The sequence below is a fragment of the Homo sapiens genome, chromosome 21 (genome assembly GCF_000001405.40).
Source record: "Homo sapiens chromosome 21, GRCh38.p14 Primary Assembly".
NCBI lineage: Eukaryota > Metazoa > Chordata > Mammalia > Primates > Hominidae > Homo > Homo sapiens.
In genome coordinates this window covers 33,066,810-33,086,005 of record NC_000021.9, presented here as the reverse complement: position 1 = coordinate 33,086,005, position 19,196 = coordinate 33,066,810, and the positions used below count along the sequence as shown (strand labels likewise).

The window sequence follows — 19,196 nt, the reverse complement described above, 5'->3', positions numbered from 1 at the left end:
GTAGCTGCTATCACAGCTGGATTCCACCACTGGACTCTAGCCCCGGTGGTCTCCACTACCCCCCACAGGTGCTCATCTCCATTCCTCTGAAAGCTTGAGTCTGCTGCAGCCACCACAGATGTTCTCAAATAAGCCCCCTGCCTGTCCATCAACCCCTTGAGATCCAACATCCTGGGTAGGAGCATTTGATTGGCCTCCCATAGCCCATGGGCCCAAGCTATAGGTGTCCAGGGTTGGGGGGAGGAAACAGATGCCACCTTTGGCTTCCAGAGGGGCCATGGGAGCCCTGCCTTTTGTGTGGCTGGGAATTCATAAGAAGAGGACTCATAACCCATGGTGTGCTGGAGCTGGCAGGACCCACTCACCAGAACGCTTGTCTCTTCCCAGTTCCAGGTTCAGGGACATCATATTGGCAGCCTGGATTTGGCAGTGATGGGAGTATTTACACCACAGAAATGGGCAAAAATGACAAACTGGGGCTTTGCTGTTCCTTCAGAGAGCCATTTTGCCAGCACACCGTTGGTTCATATACCAGACAGCCAAAGTGACAGGTGTCATCTTTGAAATAGTCATCTCTGCAAATTAGATTGTTGAACTGAGTTGAAGGAATGAAGAGAGAAAGAGAGACAGAGAGAGAGAGAGAGAGAGAGAGCAGAAATAAGCACACACACACAAAGCCTCGATGTATATCTGCAGCTGTACAAACAACTTAGAGCAATGCCACCCAGTAGAAATAGAATACAAGCCACATATGTAATTTTAAATGTTCCAGTAGCTATGTTAAACAATGAAAAGAAACATAAAATTAATTTTAATAGTGTGTTTCATTTAACCAGTATTTCTAAGAGGTTACCATTTCAGCTTGTAATCAATACAAAAATTATTGAGATAGTTTACTTTTTTTTCTTCCTATGAAAAAGTATGTATTTCTAGTATGTATTTCACACCTGTGGCACATCCCAATTTGGATGGACACATTTCCAGTGCTCAGGAGTTCCATGTTCCTAGGAGCTGCCATATTGGACAATGTAGGCCTGATGTATTTCAATAATGCTGTATGATGGTCTTTAAACCATCTCCCAGTGGTGGGTTATGAAGGACCAACTGTGTTCCTCTCTTACAGAAGTGGAAAATTAGAAATTCTCAAATTGTATGAAAGTGAGTTATGCATCTGCCTGTCTGCAATTGGTTGATCTGGGTAGAGGGTGGGTCATTTAATGCTGATCCTATCTTATGAACAAATCATAAATATTGCTGATGGTGTCAAGCATAACCTTGCAAATGTATATGTGTGTGAGATGAGGTGGAAGACGGAGAGAGGACAGGGCACCGTAACCTCAGGTGAGTGAAGATGTCTAAGGGATCCTCGCAGAACTACTAGGTTGGTTCTCCCCACTTTCCAGAAAATATATCTACAGGGTGAACACATGAAGGTGCCAGAGGAAGGGGCACCTGGAGACAACGTAGGAGCTCTGGGGCCCTCCTTCATGCCATGCCACTGTCCTCCTTCACCTGGATCCTTTGCAATATCCTTTATCATAAACTGGTAAACATCAACAGAAAACATGTCTACCACATATGCCTGCTAAGTGAACAGCTAATCCCTGTTTAAAGACCCTGATGGAAACAGGTGCTTTCATTATTGTTGGCAGGAATGTTCATTTTGGAGGGCAATTTGACAACAGCTATGGGCATTTCAAACACGCAAACTCTTCAGCACTAGTGTTTTTCTAGGAATGATCATAGATAGGAAGTCCCATGCACATGCCAAACTATGTGAGCAAGTATATTATTGCAAATACTGAAAATAATGAAAATGGCCCTCCACGAGGGACAGGTTATGTCCATTCTGTGGAACATGTAGCAGCCGCTACAAAATGGGGCCTATGTATAAATGATGTGGAAAGAAAACCACAGCCTATGTGGAAGTACACAAAGAAAAAGGCAAGTTGCCAATCTTAATAATATACTATTTTTGTGGCAAAACGAAATTCTTTTTAGTGTGGGCATTGAAAGGAAAATTTGGAAGAAATACAATCAGGTTATATGCAGGTGTGGAACTAGGATAGGAGAACTCAGGGAGGGAATTTTACTTTATATACATTGATAATGTTTGAAATTCTACAATGATCTTGCATAGGTGCTATAATCATAGAAAGATATAAAATAATAAATAAACACAAAAACATAATTTAAAAGAAAAACACCCGCTGGGCACAGTGGCTCATGCCTGTAATCCCAAAACTTTGGGAGGCTGAGGCAGGCAGGTCACCTGAGGTCAGGAGTTCAAGACCAGCCTTGCTAACATTGCGAAACCCCATCACTACGAAAAATACAAAAATTAGCTGGGCATGATGGCAGGTGCCTGTAATCCCAGCTACTTGGGAGGCTGAGACAGGAGAATCACTTGAACCGAGGAAGTGGAGAGTTACAGTGAGCCGAGATCGTGCCATTGCACTCCAGCCTGGGCAACAGAGCAAGACTCCACCAAAAAAAAAAAAAAAGAAAAACACCCAGTGCTGCCAAGGCCACTGGGTCACACGTTCTCGGGTTCTCCAGGTGGGAGTGTAGATTGATTCTGCCTTGCTGGAGGGACCTACTTGACGACATACATTTGCTGATTCTACCCTAGAAGTTAATCCAAGGAGAAACTGATTTAGAACATATCTATGTATGTGGAAGGATGTTCATTACTGTCTGATTTATATAAAAATGTTGAGGGGGGATGAAATGTTCATTTATAGGGAGATATTTCAATAAGTCACAGGGTAGGCCAGGTGTGGTGGCTCAGGCCTGTAGTCCCAGCTACTCAGGAGGCTGAAGTGGGAGGATCGCTTGAACCCAGGTGGTCGAGGCTGCAATGAACTATGATTGTGCCACTGCACTCCAGCCTGGGTGACAGAGTAAAAACTTCTCATAAATAAATAAAATCACAGGATAGCATACATTGAGATCCTCAGTTGAAAGGGTTATATAAGGGTACATTTATTGGCACTGAAAGGTATCACAATATATTACTAAATGAATAAAGCCGACTATAAGCCTGCCTGTGTAGTTTAATTCCAATCTGTATCATATATTTGATTATATGTGTGCATATGCAAATAAGAAAACCTGTAACTACCTATATCAGGGTATCATGAGCAGTGGCTTTCTCAGAGTAGTGAGATTATAGAAAATTTTTGTCTTCTGCATTGTTTTTAAAATGGTCTAACTCATTTACAATGAGTACATGTAATCCCTTTACTATTCAAAAAAATAATGGGGCCAGGCGCCGTGGCTCACGCCTGTAATCCCAGCACTTTGGGAGGCCAAGATGGGCAGATCATGAGGTTAGGAGATGGAGACCATCCTGGCCAACATGGTGAAACTCTGGCTCTACTAAAATAGCTGGGCATGGTGGTGCTCATCTGTAGTCCCAGCTACTTGGAAGGCAGAGGCAGGGGAATCGTTTGAACCCATAAGATGGAGGTTGCAGTGAGCTGAGATCGCAACACTGCACTCCAGCCTGGCGACAGAGCAAGACTCCGTCTCAAAATAATAATAATAATAATAATAATAATAATAATAATAATAATAAGGAAGATCTCTATTTCAAAAATTGCTATTGAGAGTAGCTGCAAACTCTCCCTTTCTTTCTCTCCACAACGGTTTCAAGGTAGAAATGGTAAAACCGTCATCCTGGTATCGCTGACTATGAATGCCATGTGTAATGTGTGGACTGTGACCCAGTGTCTGTGAATCTTGTTTTAAAGGCTTTAACACTGTTTCAGTTGTGAATCATGGAATGTCATTTGATCTACAATAGCCAAGCATGATTAACAAATTCTCACATGGGGGCTCTTTTTAAAATTCTGTGTGGTGTGTATGTGTTTAATTTAATTCAAAAAAAAATTTTTTTTTTCAGGCAGAGTTTGGCTCTGTCACCCAGGCTGGAGTACAACGGTGCAATCTCCGCTCACTGCAACCTCCGCCTCCTGGGTTCAAGCGATTCTCCTGCCTCAGCCTCCCAAGTAGCTGGGATCACAGGTGCACACCACCACACCCGGCTAATTTTTGTATTTTTAGTAGAGACAAGGTTTCACCATGTTGGTCAGGCTGTTCTTGAACTCCTGACCTCAAGTGATTCACCCGCCTTGGCCTCCCAAAGTGCTGGGATTACAGGCATGAGCCACTGTGCCTGGCCTAATTTTAAAAGCAAACAAAATCCAAGTTTTTCGGGGAAGGGGATGGAGTTATTCCAGCTGAAGAGGCTGTTTAGGGTTATCAAGGGTCCCCGCGTTCACTCATGCCCATTGTGCCTTTTTACAAGGCCCATGGCAAGCATTTTTCAAATGAATGGATTGATTTTAAAATCTGAGTGTAACACTGAACACACTCCGGAGTCTTTCAGACAACAGCAGCATTAAAGATAAGCTGTCTGTTCCTTGTCTTGGTGAACCATCTCCCAAGACAAGATTTAAGATTTTGGTGTGAGGGGCAGCAGTTTGTTGTGAGCATCAGCCATTGCTTGGAAAACAAAACCCCTTTATTTTTCCAATTCAGGTGACATGGGGCCATGTTCCATGGCTCACTATGTTTGATTTTCAAGGGTGCTGTGATTCAGTGGCCCCAGGAGTCAACAGGCTTCCCAGCCCGGGGTGATATGCTGCCACCTGGTGAGGGGGGAATGGGGGGGTTGGGAAGCACAGAGCCAGGGCTGAAGACCTAGGCCTGGTCGAGGGGGGTGCTTGCCCCCACCCCACACACACCTGCCCACCCTCGCCCAGATGGGGGAAAAGCTGATGTTAGCTCACACCCCAGGCTTCAGACATTGAGGCCAGAAGTTTGCTGGATGGGATGGGCCCCAGGACAACAGCTCACTCCAGCCTCACCACCTGCTGTCTCTCTTGTTGGGCTCAACACAGGCCTTAGCACAGGCCTGGCACTAACTAGCATCCTGAGAAAATGCTCAGCAAAAGTGCTAAGCGCTATTATTGCTACTGCTACTACTAGGACTATTTCTAGAGGTTTGCTTAAAGCAAAACAAAACAAACTCACATATGTGGTATCACAAATCCTGCATTCCTCACGAGGAGCTGCCCCACAGGTCTCCCCAGTAACAGCTGAATGGAATAGGAGTCATTCCCTCAACAGAGGAAATGCAGCTCCCACCCAGAGTGGAGGGGATGAGATTTGCCCGTGGACATGTCTACAATGATAATGGTTCCAGGAGCTCTGCTGAGCCCTTGTGTGCCTCATTGAATCCCATGAGATCAACACATTATCACCCCCATTTTACAGATGAAGATGTCAAGGCTTAAAGAGCTAAAGCACAAGGTAAGGAAGCTAGGAAGGGTGGGACAGGGATTTGAAGGCAGAGACCTCCTGATGCCAGGGCTCTCCACCAGGACACAGCGCCACCCCTGTGACACCCTGTCACACTGTCCTGGAATCAGCCAGCAGAGGCAATGTCTGTGGAGATTTGAATTCGCCCAGTGCCTGGCTGTCATTTCTGTGAGCTAATATCAGCTTTTCCCCCATCTGGCCAAGGGTGTGCAGGGACAGTGGGGCAGCTGTGGGAAACTAGGGGGAGGAGAGCAGGGCGTTTGCTGTTGGAATCTGAGAAAAATTGGTAGCACTGCTCCTGTCTGTATTTAAACATTTTATATTTTGTTCATCATGAATTTCTGCATCAATTTTGATTTTATATATATACACACATATGCGTGTGTATATACGTGTGTGTATATATGTTTATGTGTGTATGTATATATATATTTTTTATTAAAATATATATATATTTTATTAAAATATATATATATTTTAATAAAAAATATATATATTTTAAATTGAGACTGAGTCTCACTCCAGACTGGAGTGCAGTGGCACCATCTCAGCTCACTGCATACCTCCGCCTCCCAGGTTCAAGAGATTCTCGTGCCTCAGCCTCCTGAGTATCTGGGACTACAGGTGCCTGCCACCATGCCCGGCTAATTTTTGTATTTTTAATAGAGATGGGATTTCACCATGTTGGCCAGGCTGGTCTTGAACTCCTGACCTCAGGTGATCCACCCGCCTTGGCCTCCCAAAATGCTGGGATTACAGGCGTGAGCCACTGTGCTCAGCCTTTACAAAAAAATTGTATTAAAATACTCTTTATCATGATAGCTGAGTTTTTTGGTGCCCCCTTCAATTTTGTGCCCAAAGGAAGTGCCTCACTTACCTCATCCTGGCCCTATTTGCTTCTCAAGGCCCACTTTCTCCTTAAGACCCAGGTAGCAAAAAGCAGTTCTAATCTAACTATTGTATTTTACTTTGGGAGACAAACTTAATTAACTTAATCAGAATATTTTTCTGACTCTGTCCTGTCAACCAGTTTGAAATGGCAAATTAATTAATGAGTCTGAACCAAAATATAGTTACTATTTAAAACCTTAACATTAATAAAATCTTGGTTCTCCCTTCCCTTCCCTTCCTTTCCCTTCCCTTCCCTTCCCTTTTCTTTTCTTTCCTTTTTTATTTTAACAAGTGTTTCTGTGTAGGAAACACAGGCTGAAACCTGCTTTGGGTAACATGCTCTGAATTTAGATGACCACAAAATCTATTTTGAGAAATAATCGCTCACTTATTAACCACTCACTCGTGCCAACACCTAGTAGGTGGGCGCTCAATAAGTGTTTGTTGGCCAAAGGAATGACTATTGGGGACGGACCCCAGCCTCACTGGCAGGGAGAGCCTGGCCCCCAGCACCTTGCCGGGGAGGCTCCTCTGGGCCTGACTGAGCCCCATTCAGCCCCCATGTGCAGAGGATGACTCAGCCTGTGACTTCATTCACCCAGCCTGGTGTTTATCCACTCACCACAAACCGGTTGATACTGTTTGGAGCTACCCCGAGGTGACGCTCTGCTGGTGGAGAATGACATGCAGTCAGCTTGTGGCCTCTGGGGCCAAAACAGCTGAAATGCTGTGGCTTCTGAAGAACCCATTGTCTGCTAGTCAAGCGTGAGGACAAGGAAGGTTCTGGTGCTGCCCCCCAGCTCCCTCTGAGAGGCATTTTGGCTTCCATGTGGGTGCGGGACAGACCACAGCAGGGGGCCCTAGCAGGGCTCTGACCCCAAGCGTGGAAGAATGGACCCTGGCATGGGGATCCCTCATAGAAGCCCCTCAAAAAATACTGTGGGGGTCCAGATAGAGCTGGAAGGAGCTGAGGAGTTTAGAAGGCAGCTTTGCTCATTCCAAATGCATTCTTACTTGGTACCATCTGATGCTGTCATGGACCCTCTTAATAGATTGCAAGAGAAGATGGGAATGACGGAGCATACACTGGTGCTTTTTTTTTTTTCTTTTGAGACAGAGTCTTACTCTGTTGCCCAGGCCAGAGTACAGTGGTGTGATCACAGTTCACTGCAGCCTCAGCTTCCTGGACTCAGGTGATTCTCCCAACTCAGCCTCCCCAGTGGCTGGAACTACAAGCACACCACAACACACCATGCCACTAAGTTTTTGTATTTTTTGTAGAAACGGGGTTTTGCCATGTTGCCCAAGCTGGTCTTGAACTCCTGGGCTGAAGCCATCCTCCCATCTCAGACTCCCAAAGTGCTGGGATTACAGGCATGAGCCACCGCGCCTGGCCTCACACTAGTGCCTTTGAAAGCAGCTGTCACAGTACACATCACCATGGAAATAATTTCCAGACAATGGAAAAAATTCTATCAGTGGCAACAAGAAAAGCATTGGCAGGTACAATAGGCACTATGCTTAACGGTTTATCCCACTGCCTCATTTAACCCCCAAGGAGGTGGGTCCTGTTATTACCCTGACCTTACAGAGGAGGAGACTGAGGCACCAGAGCTCAAGTAGCCTACTGAGGTCACACATGAGCCTACATGAGCCATGGAGTGGAGTGACCAACTGGAGGCACGACCAAATCGGGCAACACACAGCCAGGATCTTAAAGGGAAGAGATGACCAGGAGGAGGGAAGACAGGAGGATGGGAGAGGAGATTGGTGCCTGATTGTGTTTGGACACAGTAGGGTTCTTATGAGCGGAGGATGGGAGGGGGAAGGTTGAGCATCCATCTCTCCCATCTCCTGTGGCCAGGTCTGTTACAGCAGCCAGCCCTGCACGCCTTCCCCAACAGCCTCGCTGGGGCAGTTCATGGTTCAAAGCCTACAGCCCTCCATCTGAGTTACTGTGAGTCTGTGTGAATATAAAATACAAAAGGCATCTCTGATGCCCTCACAGCCCCTAGAACCATGGAGACCATGGTCATAAGTGAATTCAAAAGTTGTCTATTAAACGGGGTGCTGTAATGTTCCATTTTATTTTTTCCTACACTGGACACCTGTGCACTGATAGAGACTCATATATAGGCTGTACCTTCTGCCCATGGCTGTGGGGAACCAGGACTGCAGAGGAAGCATGTGAGTGAAGCCACCGGAAGCAAGCAAATGGAACAAAACCAGCACCACGACCACCACCACCACCACCACCACCATCACCACCATCACCACAATACAAATACTCTCTTTGATTGGTCCTCTGGGTAGATAAAATGTTATCAAATCACCTCCAAGCTTTCTTTACTGATTCTTCATCTGCTCAAACTATTTTTTAAGATTTGAACAGAATGACACCTAATGATCACTGTCTGAGGAGTTTAGGGTTTTTATTTTCTTGCCTGTAACACTCAGTGGTGACCAGGACGAGGAGCATGTATGTGTTGAAGGGTGCGGGCTGCGTGAAGCCTCCCTTCTGCCCCATCCGCAATCCCTGACATCTCACTACTCACATTCTTAGATCAGTCTCCGCCAGGTCTGAACATTTTGGAAATAAAAATCAGATAAAAATGAAAAAGTGAAACTGAAAAAAAAAGAAAGCTAAAAGTGAAATGACCTAAAAGAATGACCCCATGGTCTCAGGCTCAAGAAAGAGGAGACAGGGAGTGGCGAGACGTTGACGCCTGGATCATGCATTGGTTAGACATGCAATTAATAGAAGCAGCCACAGCCAGGCATGGGGCGGGCACTGGGGTACAGGTGGGGTTTCCCAGCCTTGCCCCAAGAGCTAAGGGGAGGAAGGAAAATGACCCCTCTCCACATTACAGCAATGACAGAGAGGACAACCCTTGGGGGCTCTCTTTCTTCTAGACAGAGCCTCATTTCTTTCTGTGTCTGGCTGCTACAACTTCCCTGAACTGGCTTCAGCTTCTTCTGTCTCTGTATCTTCATGTTTCTGTTTTCTCATCTGTAAAATGGGGATAACGCTGGTGCCTACAAAATGAAAGCATGCATGTAAAATGCTTACAACCCTGCTTGGTGCCCGATAACACAATGAGCTCTTATCAGCACCATTGTTATTTTTATTTCTGGTAGTAATGCTCTGCCATTTCTGCAGAGTAGCTTCTCCTTCCCACCTGCCTGCCCCCAGGTGAGTTGGCTTTTCTTTTTTCTTTCTTTTTAACCTCACAGACAAGTCTTCTCATCTGCTCTTGTGATTTTGAAGTCTCCAGGTCCTATGACTTTGGCATTCTCTAAGGAGCTACCCACATCACTTAGAAGCTTCTGGGACACAACAGCCCTTATTGAATCCCAGTGCTGGGAGCCTGTTTCCTGGGCCCCATGGCTTGCCTTGGACTGGTGCTCCAGGTACAGGGCCTGTCAGGGGCGTCTGTCCTCTATTTCAGGCCACCACTGCAGAGGGGCCTGTTGGGGAATCACTCGTGTCCATGAAAAACACTCAACAAAAAGATGCCGACGACGTTGACACAGGTTCCAGCAGGGTCAGAATGTCTAGTTTCCACATGAAAACACTGTGAGGCAGCCAGGAGGAGAAAGTCTCTGAAGCTGTGCCTTCAGAAGCCGTTTTCTCCTTGCACCCTGCTGCCCTTGTCTGTCAGCCGTCTGCTTGCTCACTTTCAGAAACTCGAATGACAAACCTGCAACCGTCAGAGGATCTCTCACAGAGGTGGCCTTGCCTCTGCCACTCCCTGTCACCAGTCTGGGCCTCTCTTGGGGCTAGGGGGCGAGGCTGCCGAGAAAGTTCAGGTGACTCAACTGCAGTCAGGTCAGCCAGCAAGGGATTTGTCCTGAGCCTATCTCTCCTGGATGCCACCAGCAGGGCCAGCCTACAGGCTGAGCAGAGAGGCTGGAAGAGACCAGAGGACCGAGATTTTCCAGGGGAGGGCAGAAGAACATGCTCAGCTCTGGGTGGGGACCTCCTGTTGGGATTCCCATTCCTTGTCTCACCAGGACAGACCAAGGAAGCAGCCCGTGCTTCCCCAAAGCAGGCGCTAGTCCCTGGCATTACTGCCTCTGACCACCTGTGTGGCTTTGACTGTGGTTCCCGACCATCCTGGGCCTCGGTTGCCTTATTCAGTAGGGAGAAGAGAGAATGGATGATTTGCAACTGCCTTTGCCTGCCAGCATTCATGAGACTCAGATATGATTTGGTACCTGCGGCCTTTGTCCCAGGTAGTGGCCTACTTGCGTGCTCTGTCCTCGGTGGTCACCGCAGAAGGCTTAGCATGGACGTAGAATGCATTCTTTTTGCTTTCAATCAAGGCATTCCCCCCCCACCCCCACCCCCCCACACACACAAAAGCGTCATGCAGCCTGTAGTGTTTAAGGACTTGGAATATTCAGCTCCTTGTCCTGAGCTCAGAGCCTGGCCTGTCAACAGCAGCAGGAGGGAAGGGGGAGAGTTTGCGGAGAGCTCCTAATCCCGTGTGAGCAGAAAGAATGTGGTTTGGTTTCTTTTCAGGCATGTCAGCTTTTACGCTGGGCTTAGTTAAAAATGACAGAATGGGAACTGCCTTAAGAATGATTTTCCGATGTCTCCATAAATAACGAGACTAGTTTGTGTGCAGGTTTTGAGGAATATCTTGCTACTCCAGTTTTGCACGTTAACTGGATCTTACTTGGAAACAGTATTTCTAACGTCTTTCCCCACACCTAAAAATCTGCTGGAGAAAAGTGAATTCATGTTTTTGAAAAACATGGCATTTTTCACCCCATTGCTTTGTGAGCCTACTTCAGTGAATGTGGTAATCTTCTTATTGAATATTTATTGTGTGTGCAGAAGAGAAAAGAGGCAGTGAAGAAGCAGGAAAATACCTTCTGAGGGAAATATACTTTCCTAGTCAATGCACTGCATACCCAGGGAGCAAAAGTGTCAATTGAATGACTCTTCCCAACCATCACCTTGCTCTTGGCAAGTTCATCAGGTATCCTTCTATGGCAGAAAAGAAAAGCCCCTTTTTTTCCTGGCTGGCTTCCTAAACACAACAGGAGGCTCCAGGGGGTCTAGTTAGCAGGCTGAGGCTCTCTTGTACCCAGCCTCACCTGCGTACCTAAGCATTCAGGAAAGACCAAACACCTTAAAGTGGAGTGCAAGATGGAAGCATTGTCGTTCATCTTCTAAACTTCAGTAAGTGGAAACATTTTCCATGATTGGAGAGGAGCCTCTTCCTCGAAGCAGCCACTTACCCTCTAAGCTGTATATTTCACAAAGTTAAATTTTTATGTCTAGTGTCATCAGTTTCCCTTAGAGGAGAACATCTGTAAGTAGACCATCACTGCGGGCTAGGCAAATCCCATCGTGTATTGATTCTGCCCTCTGTCTACTGATTGCTCACCTGGACTCCAATATATATAACAATATAATTTCTCAGGGCCTTGTGTATTTTCCCATTAGGTTCAGTTTACTCTAATTGCCAGGACCTCACTTTGGTGGTTGGCTGGATGCAGGGAACTTTTTTGGCAGTGAGCCGTGGGTTCCTTCTCATCTTGCTTCTGAGCTCTTAGAGTGCCTTTCTTGAGGAACCTTACTAAGACCCTCCCAGCTGTCCCAAACCCTTCAAAGGCTAGCTTACACTTGTTCCTTCTGAACAAAGCCCACTCCAGCTAAAATCAAGTATGGTGGACAATTCAGCTAGCTCCTTTGCTGGCGTGACATAGCACTGAACATTTCTAAAAGCAGCTCCATGCTCTAGAACACACATGTCTAAGCTTAAACTCTGCATGCAGAATACACTGCCCTGCCATAGACAGATGTTGAGCAGTCTGACTTTGCATTGTGGACACTGTATATAATTACCTTTTATCTGTTTCATCCTACAGGACTCTTCAATGCTTGCTGGTACTATTTTTTAGGATGTAAACTCCTTCTATAGAGCAAGTCTGCTAATCTTGCTTGGCACAACGGCCAAAAGCACGCTACGTGCAGGCAGATAAGTATTTTGATGGCACCCAAAACAGCCCCGTGTGTCCTTGTTAAATTTATTTATAGCCTTTGGCCCTTCTGAAAAGCATGATAGGCTGTGATTTTCTTAGTTAAATAAAAAAAAAATCATACACATATAGTGTTACTTTTCCTATAAGGCATGGGCGGCTTGTTCCCATTTACAGGTAGAGAAGGGCAGACCCATTTTCTGCCCTGTAGCTTTGGGCTCCTTTTAGAGATGATGTCTGGAATGACAGTGGCATCTAGGTGCTGGTGTTGGACAGTGGGAGAAATTGTTTGTTTCTAATCCCTTAGAAGTATTTTTGTTTCAAGGAGAACCTAATTTGCTTTTGATTTCATTGATTTTCACTTTTTTCCCCTACCCCTTGCCAAGATATAAGGTAAGCAAGGAAAGGCATTGAATAAACAGAAGGCCAGAGTTCAAATCTACTTTTTATAAAAGTGGTGACTTTGCTGGTGGCAGAGTCTAGGAAGCATGAGAAATCCTCTTTTGGAATGAGTTGGTGCACAGAGCACCTTCTCCCATGCCCTGTCCTGACTTCTCCTTAAGGAAATAGACACAGCATGGTAGCCGGGCAATGCCATCTCTCCAGCCACCTCCCACCTCCTTCCCCCACCTCCAAAGTGGTGCTCATTTTCTCTAAATGTGTATATGCCTCAGATAAACCAACATGGATAAAATTGAGTAAGTCATCTCTGGGTTTTCTTTAATTTTCCTCAGGTTAAAGGGGACACTACTTCTCTACTACTCCCCTACATTAAACAGTGGTTGGGTTTCATTAATAATTATGCAGTGTTTCATTATTGCAATGTGAGCAGGTCAGCCTTCCAAATTCTTTTTAAGAGCACCAAACAGACAGAAGAGCTTTCTTCACCTCTTAGGTGAAGACAATTCCAACCTGATTTAAATGATAAGGGGTAGGTGGGTGCAGCAGCGGGAAGCTCATGCTTGTGTGGTATTAAGCTTCTGTCCAAGGATATAGAAAAGGTGGATATCCTGGAAGGATGTTGAGCTACAATTTTATGATAAAGGTATTGCTTAACCCATTTTCCAGGGGATGAAGTTGTAGTTAAAAAAGACCTATGCCTGAAGCTTGGCAAAGAATGAATTCCTGGAATTGCCTCTCTCCCTTCTCTATCCCATTCTCTATCCCACCCACCCACTTACCTATAATCCTCATATTTCCCACGAATGCCTGAACTTGAACTACAGTTGCCTGTTCATTGGATTATTTTACAAATCAGGAAGTCACATTTTAAAACCTGGGACCCCGGTCATTTACCTACCTTCACCCCAAGGTTCTAAATCCACTAGGATACAAGGACTTTTTTATTACCAAACAAATCAGACAAAAAATGTAAAAAATCAGACTTTAAATGTTTTATTTTGTTGATTCTGTACACCGTCAGGAAACAAGGTTAGAAGTAAAATAAAGTGCCAGTTAAATTCGGCTACTACCAACAACCAAAACCTTAAACATAGAAAATCAAAGTAAACTGCGGAAAGGTCATAGCATAACCTTGGGTAAAGGAATTTGTTAACGTCTGTAACAAATCGAAACTGACTACGTATGTAGCTCTTCAACTGCAAGACGGCGAGAAGGAAGACCTGCGGGCCGCGCTGGTCAAGGGCCCGGCCCGCTGAGGAACAGCGGAAAGCGCCTTCCCGCCGTCGCCACCGCAGCTGGGATCCGCCGAGCAGCGGGCGGTTCAGGGCTCCCGGTACTCCTGCGTGTTAATGAGAACGTTCATTAGCGCTCTTGACAGGACGGCGACTGTGAGACGCCTGGTTACCTATTTTAGTAAATCGGGAACACTGGATGCAAGGCGGTTGGTTTTCGTTTTTAAGCAAGCTTAAATGTTGGTTACGCTACTTTTGGGGAAAGGGAAACGAAAGGTGAATCTCGAGTTCTAAGTTGCTTTCTAAGAAACCCCCAGGATTTAAGAGCGAAAACTCTCTGCGACAAAACACTGGATACGCGAGTCTTAAATACAGCTCTCCAAACAGCTGGTCTACAAAAGTGGACCCACGTCCCAACCCAGCGCACCCTGCGTTGTCCTCGCCCCTACCCACCGCACCCCGACGCCGACCACCTGTCCGCCGAGGGTCCGTCCGTCTGCCACGTCCCAGACCGTCTGCACCGCCTAACTGGTCTTTTTCTGCCTCTTGAGTTCCGGCAGCCTCCTTTGATAGGACCTGGCCGGCGGGAACAAGGGCGCCCGTGGCCTCTGGCGGAGGAGAAGGAAAAGAACCACCCCTCCGCCCCCGCCACTGCTCGAGCGCAGCCCCTAGTACTGGGAGCCGGCGTGCTCCGCTCCGGGGAGGTAGCGCTCGGGGATGGCCTCTCGCTGCACCCGGGGCGCGCCAACCACGGCAAGGCGCCCTAAGTTCTACATCGGCCCCGCGAAGCGCGCAACTCCAGGGACAAGGAGAGAGATGTGCTGGGTGAGAGCGAGCACTTTCTGCCTAAAGCCGCTGGAACCGACCCAGAACCCCAAACTGCCCCGAGGCGCCATCGAACATCCGCTCTGGTCACTTTAACGTCCCAGGGGTGGGGGCGGGGAAGGGGGTGCCCGACAGTCCCTTCCTCTGGACTGGAAGGTTCGAAATGCTTTCCTTGCTCGGCCTCGCTCTCCCAGACGCAGGGAGCAGGGGCGCGGAGAAGCTGAGCGAAGGGAGGCCGGGCCGAGGTCGCGCCCCAGGCCCAGGCCCGCCCTCACTTGGAGAATTGCGCCTGCACGGCGGCCAGGCCCAGGCTGGCCGGGACCAGGTGCGGGAACTTGCACACGGCGCAGGTGCAGAGGCCGGGGCCGCCTGCGCCGCCGCCGGGGAGAGCGAACTGGCCGCACGGCGGCTCGTCCAGCGCCAGCGACAGGTACTTGGCGGGGCGCAGCGCGTCGGGGGGTCCTACGGCGCCGGGCGCCAGCAGCACGGAGCCGGGCGCGGCGGCGAGCAGGGGCAGCCCGGCCAGCAGCAGGCGCGGCGCGGCGGGCCCGGCGCCCTCGCCCAGCGCGCGGCGCAGCTCCTGCAGCGAGCTGCCCAGCAGTAGGATGTAGTTGCGGGCGAGCAGCAGCGTGGCTATCTTGGAGAGCTTGCGGCCGGGCGCGCCCTGGCAGTGCGCCGCTGAGTAGGGCAGGATGACCTCGCGCAGGGCGTCCATGGCCAGGTTCAGGTCCTGCATGCGCTTCCGCTCGCGGCTGTTGATCTTGCGCCGCAGCTGCTGCTGCTGCTCCTCCTTGGCGTCCGGCCGGGCGCTGCCGCCCGGGTGCGCGCCTGACCCGGGCCCGGGGCCTGGAGGCTCGGCCGGCGCCTCCGGCTTCTCGCGCGCAGCCTTGGGGAGGAGGGGGGCCGTCGTGGAGGAGGAGGAAGTGGAGGAGGTGGAGGAGGTGGAGGAGGAGGAGGAGGAGGGCGGCTGCCTGTAGCCCACCAGCTCGTAGAGGGAGGCCCCGAGCTGCAAGTCTCCGGGCCGCTGTGGCCGCAGCATGGTCCCGGGGACCGCGTTCACGCGCGCCTGGGAAACCGCATAGTACATCTGGGAGGCGGTGGGGGCGGCCGAGGACGCCCTTCAGGAACGCCCTGGGGTGGGCCGGTCGGCAGGCCGCCCCTCCCCGCGGACCTGCGCGCGGGGAAACGATGGTGGGGCCCTGGCCCGCGCCCTACCCCTTTAAACCCGGCTTGGGAACCTGCGGGGCAGCGGGTGGCGGGGCGCAGCCAATGGAGGCGCGAGGCCGGGCGCAGCCGCGTGTTCATTGGCTGCTTGTGCCGGGGCCGCGCGGAGGTGCGGCTGGCACCGCTTTAGGAGGTTATTGTGAGCGCCTGTGCCAGCCGCGCGGGACAGGCCCCCTGAGCGGAGTAAGGGCGCCTTTTCAAGGCAAGCGGGGCTGTTGAAGGAGGACTGGTCGCACTGGTCAGGCTGCAACTCACGTGCCTTCCTCCAGCAACTGTCTACTCAAAAACAACCTCCCTCATATTTTTTTTTAACTGTGATCACATATTCATAACATAAAATTTACCGTCTTATGTTTAGAGTACTGTTCAGTAATGTTATATGCATTAGTGTGCACATTAAATTGATTTAAATTAAATTCACATTGTTGTGCAACCCATCTCCAGAACTCTTTTCAACTTGCAACCCTGAAGCTCCACCCATTAAACAACTCCCCACTCCCCCCGACCCAAGTTCCTGGAATTCACTCTTCTGTTCTGTCTCTATGAATTTGTTCTACTCTAGGTCCCTCATATAAGTAGAATCATACAGCACTTGTCTTTTAGTGACTGGCTTCTTTCACTTAGCATATTGTCGTCAAGGTTTATCCATGTTGTAGCATGTATCAAAGTTTCTTCCTTTTCAAGGCTGAATAATATTCCAGTATATGGATATACCACATTTGGTTTATCCATTCATTCGTTGATGGACATTTGGGGTGCTTTTGGTTGTTGCGAATTATGCTGCTATGAACATGAGTGTATCATGTTTTTTTTTTCTTAAAATACATAATTTCCTGCCAGGTTCAGGTCGCTAAATTTCTGGACTAAATGACAAGTAGCATTAGGATATTTCCTCCCTGCTGCTCCCAACCTCCTTCCCCATCCCTCTGATTGAAAGGTCTTTAGGGACAAAGGAGCCTTTGGGTCGGGTTTCTATCCTCCCCGAAAGGGATGGTCTATCAGCAACTTGACATTTGCTTAAGCAAAAGTCACTCAGAAATTGGCCTCTTATTAGAAACAAAACAAAACACCCACATAGTCCTATCGGTTGAGGGTGGGAATGAATCATTTTATTTGCCAAATAGAATAGCATTACTTGGTGTCTATGGACATTTTCTGCCCCCAGCACCAGTGCATGCTACTATAACTTGTCAATGTCCTGGGGAAGAGGGCATCTTGGTGGCTGTGCTTGCTGGTTTCAGGGCTGCTTTGTTCTGGTTTTCTTCCACCAATATTTGCCACATGGGTTCACTCTGATCTTTGCTTCTGACCCCCAGCTCTGCCTGTAGCATCCTGCCTATGCCTCAGGTTCAGCTCCAACCTTGCTTTCTTCTGGAAGCCTTGGTGATTTCTCCTCTTCCTCCTTTCATGACTCTTGGCAAACCATTGATAGGATTTCTTCATAGCCTATTGTGTTATGTAGATACCATCTCTGCATTTGGCTATGATTGTTTTACGGTAGGGACCACCTGCTCATTTCTCCATCTTCCTGAAGCCTAGCACAGTGCTTGGCACTTACTGTGTGTCCTGGAGGTCTCTAAAGATGGTCTGAAATCTCCCTTAGCTCAGAGGCTCATCCCTTAAATGCACAAACTCCTGGCAATGCTCTAACCCAAGCATTTTCCTAAAGGTTTTATAGAGAGGGAAGGAACCTGGTAAGATCTCCTGCCTCTCAGAGGGGCCTGGCCTGACATGGACGTGGTGCTGGGGGCCCCACTTTGGGAGAGAGAGGGAAGCCTTGGTAGGAAGGAGCTGAGTGCTTAAGCAGAACCATACTAAGCAGGAAGGAGAGAGAGAGACCAAGGGAAGGGTCTTGAATGTTTCAAGCAATTAAGTTTAACACCTCACTAATCATTTCGCCTTCTGTTGAAGCAGCTTGCTTTCAAGTCATTTTTACAGACACTTTCACGTTTGGTTCTCATGGGGCCCCTGTGAGCTGGGCATTTTTGATCCCTTGATGTCCATGATATAACTGAGGCTCCCAGAAGGCAGTAGATTGCTCTGTGCCTTCAGACAGGACAGGCAGAGCGGCCCCACCAAGGACTGGCTTCCTGAATTCCCTCCAGCAGAACCAGGCTTCCAGGAAGCCCAGGAGGGGGCCATGATGGGGCGGGTTGGGGATTGGGTGTAAGGATGGAGGGGCCAGCCTAGACTGTGCCAATATTGATGAGTTGGTGGGTTCCAGCCATGTTCCCCAAGAGAGTGTCCCCAGAATCCTGCCACCATAAACCCTGCTCCAGCCTCTTCGGCAATGCCCACCCTCACTGTCAGGACCCTCTGTCCTGTAGCTGAGGTGCCAGATTGGGGCAGGCCCTGGTGACATCCCCCTCCGGCTTCCTCCCCTGCACACAGCCTAGGTGGGGCCCGTAGGGTCTTACCCTGCCAGCAGAAAGAGGAAGTGAATGGGGAAGATAAAATCTAAAGCCTTGGCCTGTTGCCTAACTTGTACGCTCCCCATTTCCCACCCACAGGAAGGGGCACCCAGGAGTCAAACAGATGGAAACACACACATGCTGCCTTTCCCCTCTAGAAGCACCCCTCTTTCCTGTGGGTGTCCCTGAGGGTTTTCTTTAGACCTAAGTCTCACCTTATCTCCTCCTTGTAAGACTTATCTCTCCCCCAGCCAAGGATACTGTCAACTGGATATGCTGCATATTTCAGTGCCTTGGTAGAGGGCCTCAGAAGAGGGTTCTGGGTGGCCATCCAGCTCCAGCCTGGGCACGGGATTTGGGACTGGTTGGAGCTGGTGACTTGGATGGTCCCTTGTGCTGGGCTGAAGCAGCGGCATGCAAAGTGTGACAGCTGGCAAGGGCCAGCCAGTTACTGTGGCCGCTGGCACGGGCCCCGGGGTCTGTCTCAAGGGGAGGCAGCTGCTGCGGCCTCCCACATTGAGGACATGCTTGGGGAGCAACTTGTGTCCACCATAACAACCGCTCTTTTCTTTGCCTAAAGGGGCTTGTGTGTGTGTGTTGGTGATTCCTTTCACTCTGCAGAGGTGTGTGCCTCAGATTTCCTTTTCCTTGTGTAGAAACCTAGTGTCTCCTGCGCATTCCCCTGTCCCTGCCATCTACTCTTGCTTTGGGTCAAGAAGCTTGGACCTTGGAAATGGCAGACACTGGGGACTCAAAGCCTCAGTGATGTGTGAGTGTGTTTCAGATGTAGCACCATCCTTCTCCTCTGTAAGAACAAAGATGGGGTGTACTGCTGTGAAGCCCCCTGTTGTCCTGCATGAAACCGTCCTCTTGCAGAAGGCCAGCAGAG

The 19,196-nt window shown here is 48.8% G+C and overlaps 1 protein-coding gene across 1 annotated transcript; it reads right to left on the bottom strand.

Moving 5' to 3' along the window:
* Positions 1-13,592: 13,592 nt before the first annotated feature.
* OLIG1 (oligodendrocyte transcription factor 1) lies at positions 13,593-15,865 on the bottom strand. The gene has a single exon (NM_138983.3). It carries the CDS (start codon positions 15,757-15,759, stop codon positions 14,944-14,946), a length of 816 nt encoding a protein of 271 aa, NP_620450.2. The 5' UTR covers positions 15,760-15,865; the 3' UTR covers positions 13,593-14,943.
* Between the last annotated feature and the right edge of the window lie 3,331 nt (positions 15,866-19,196).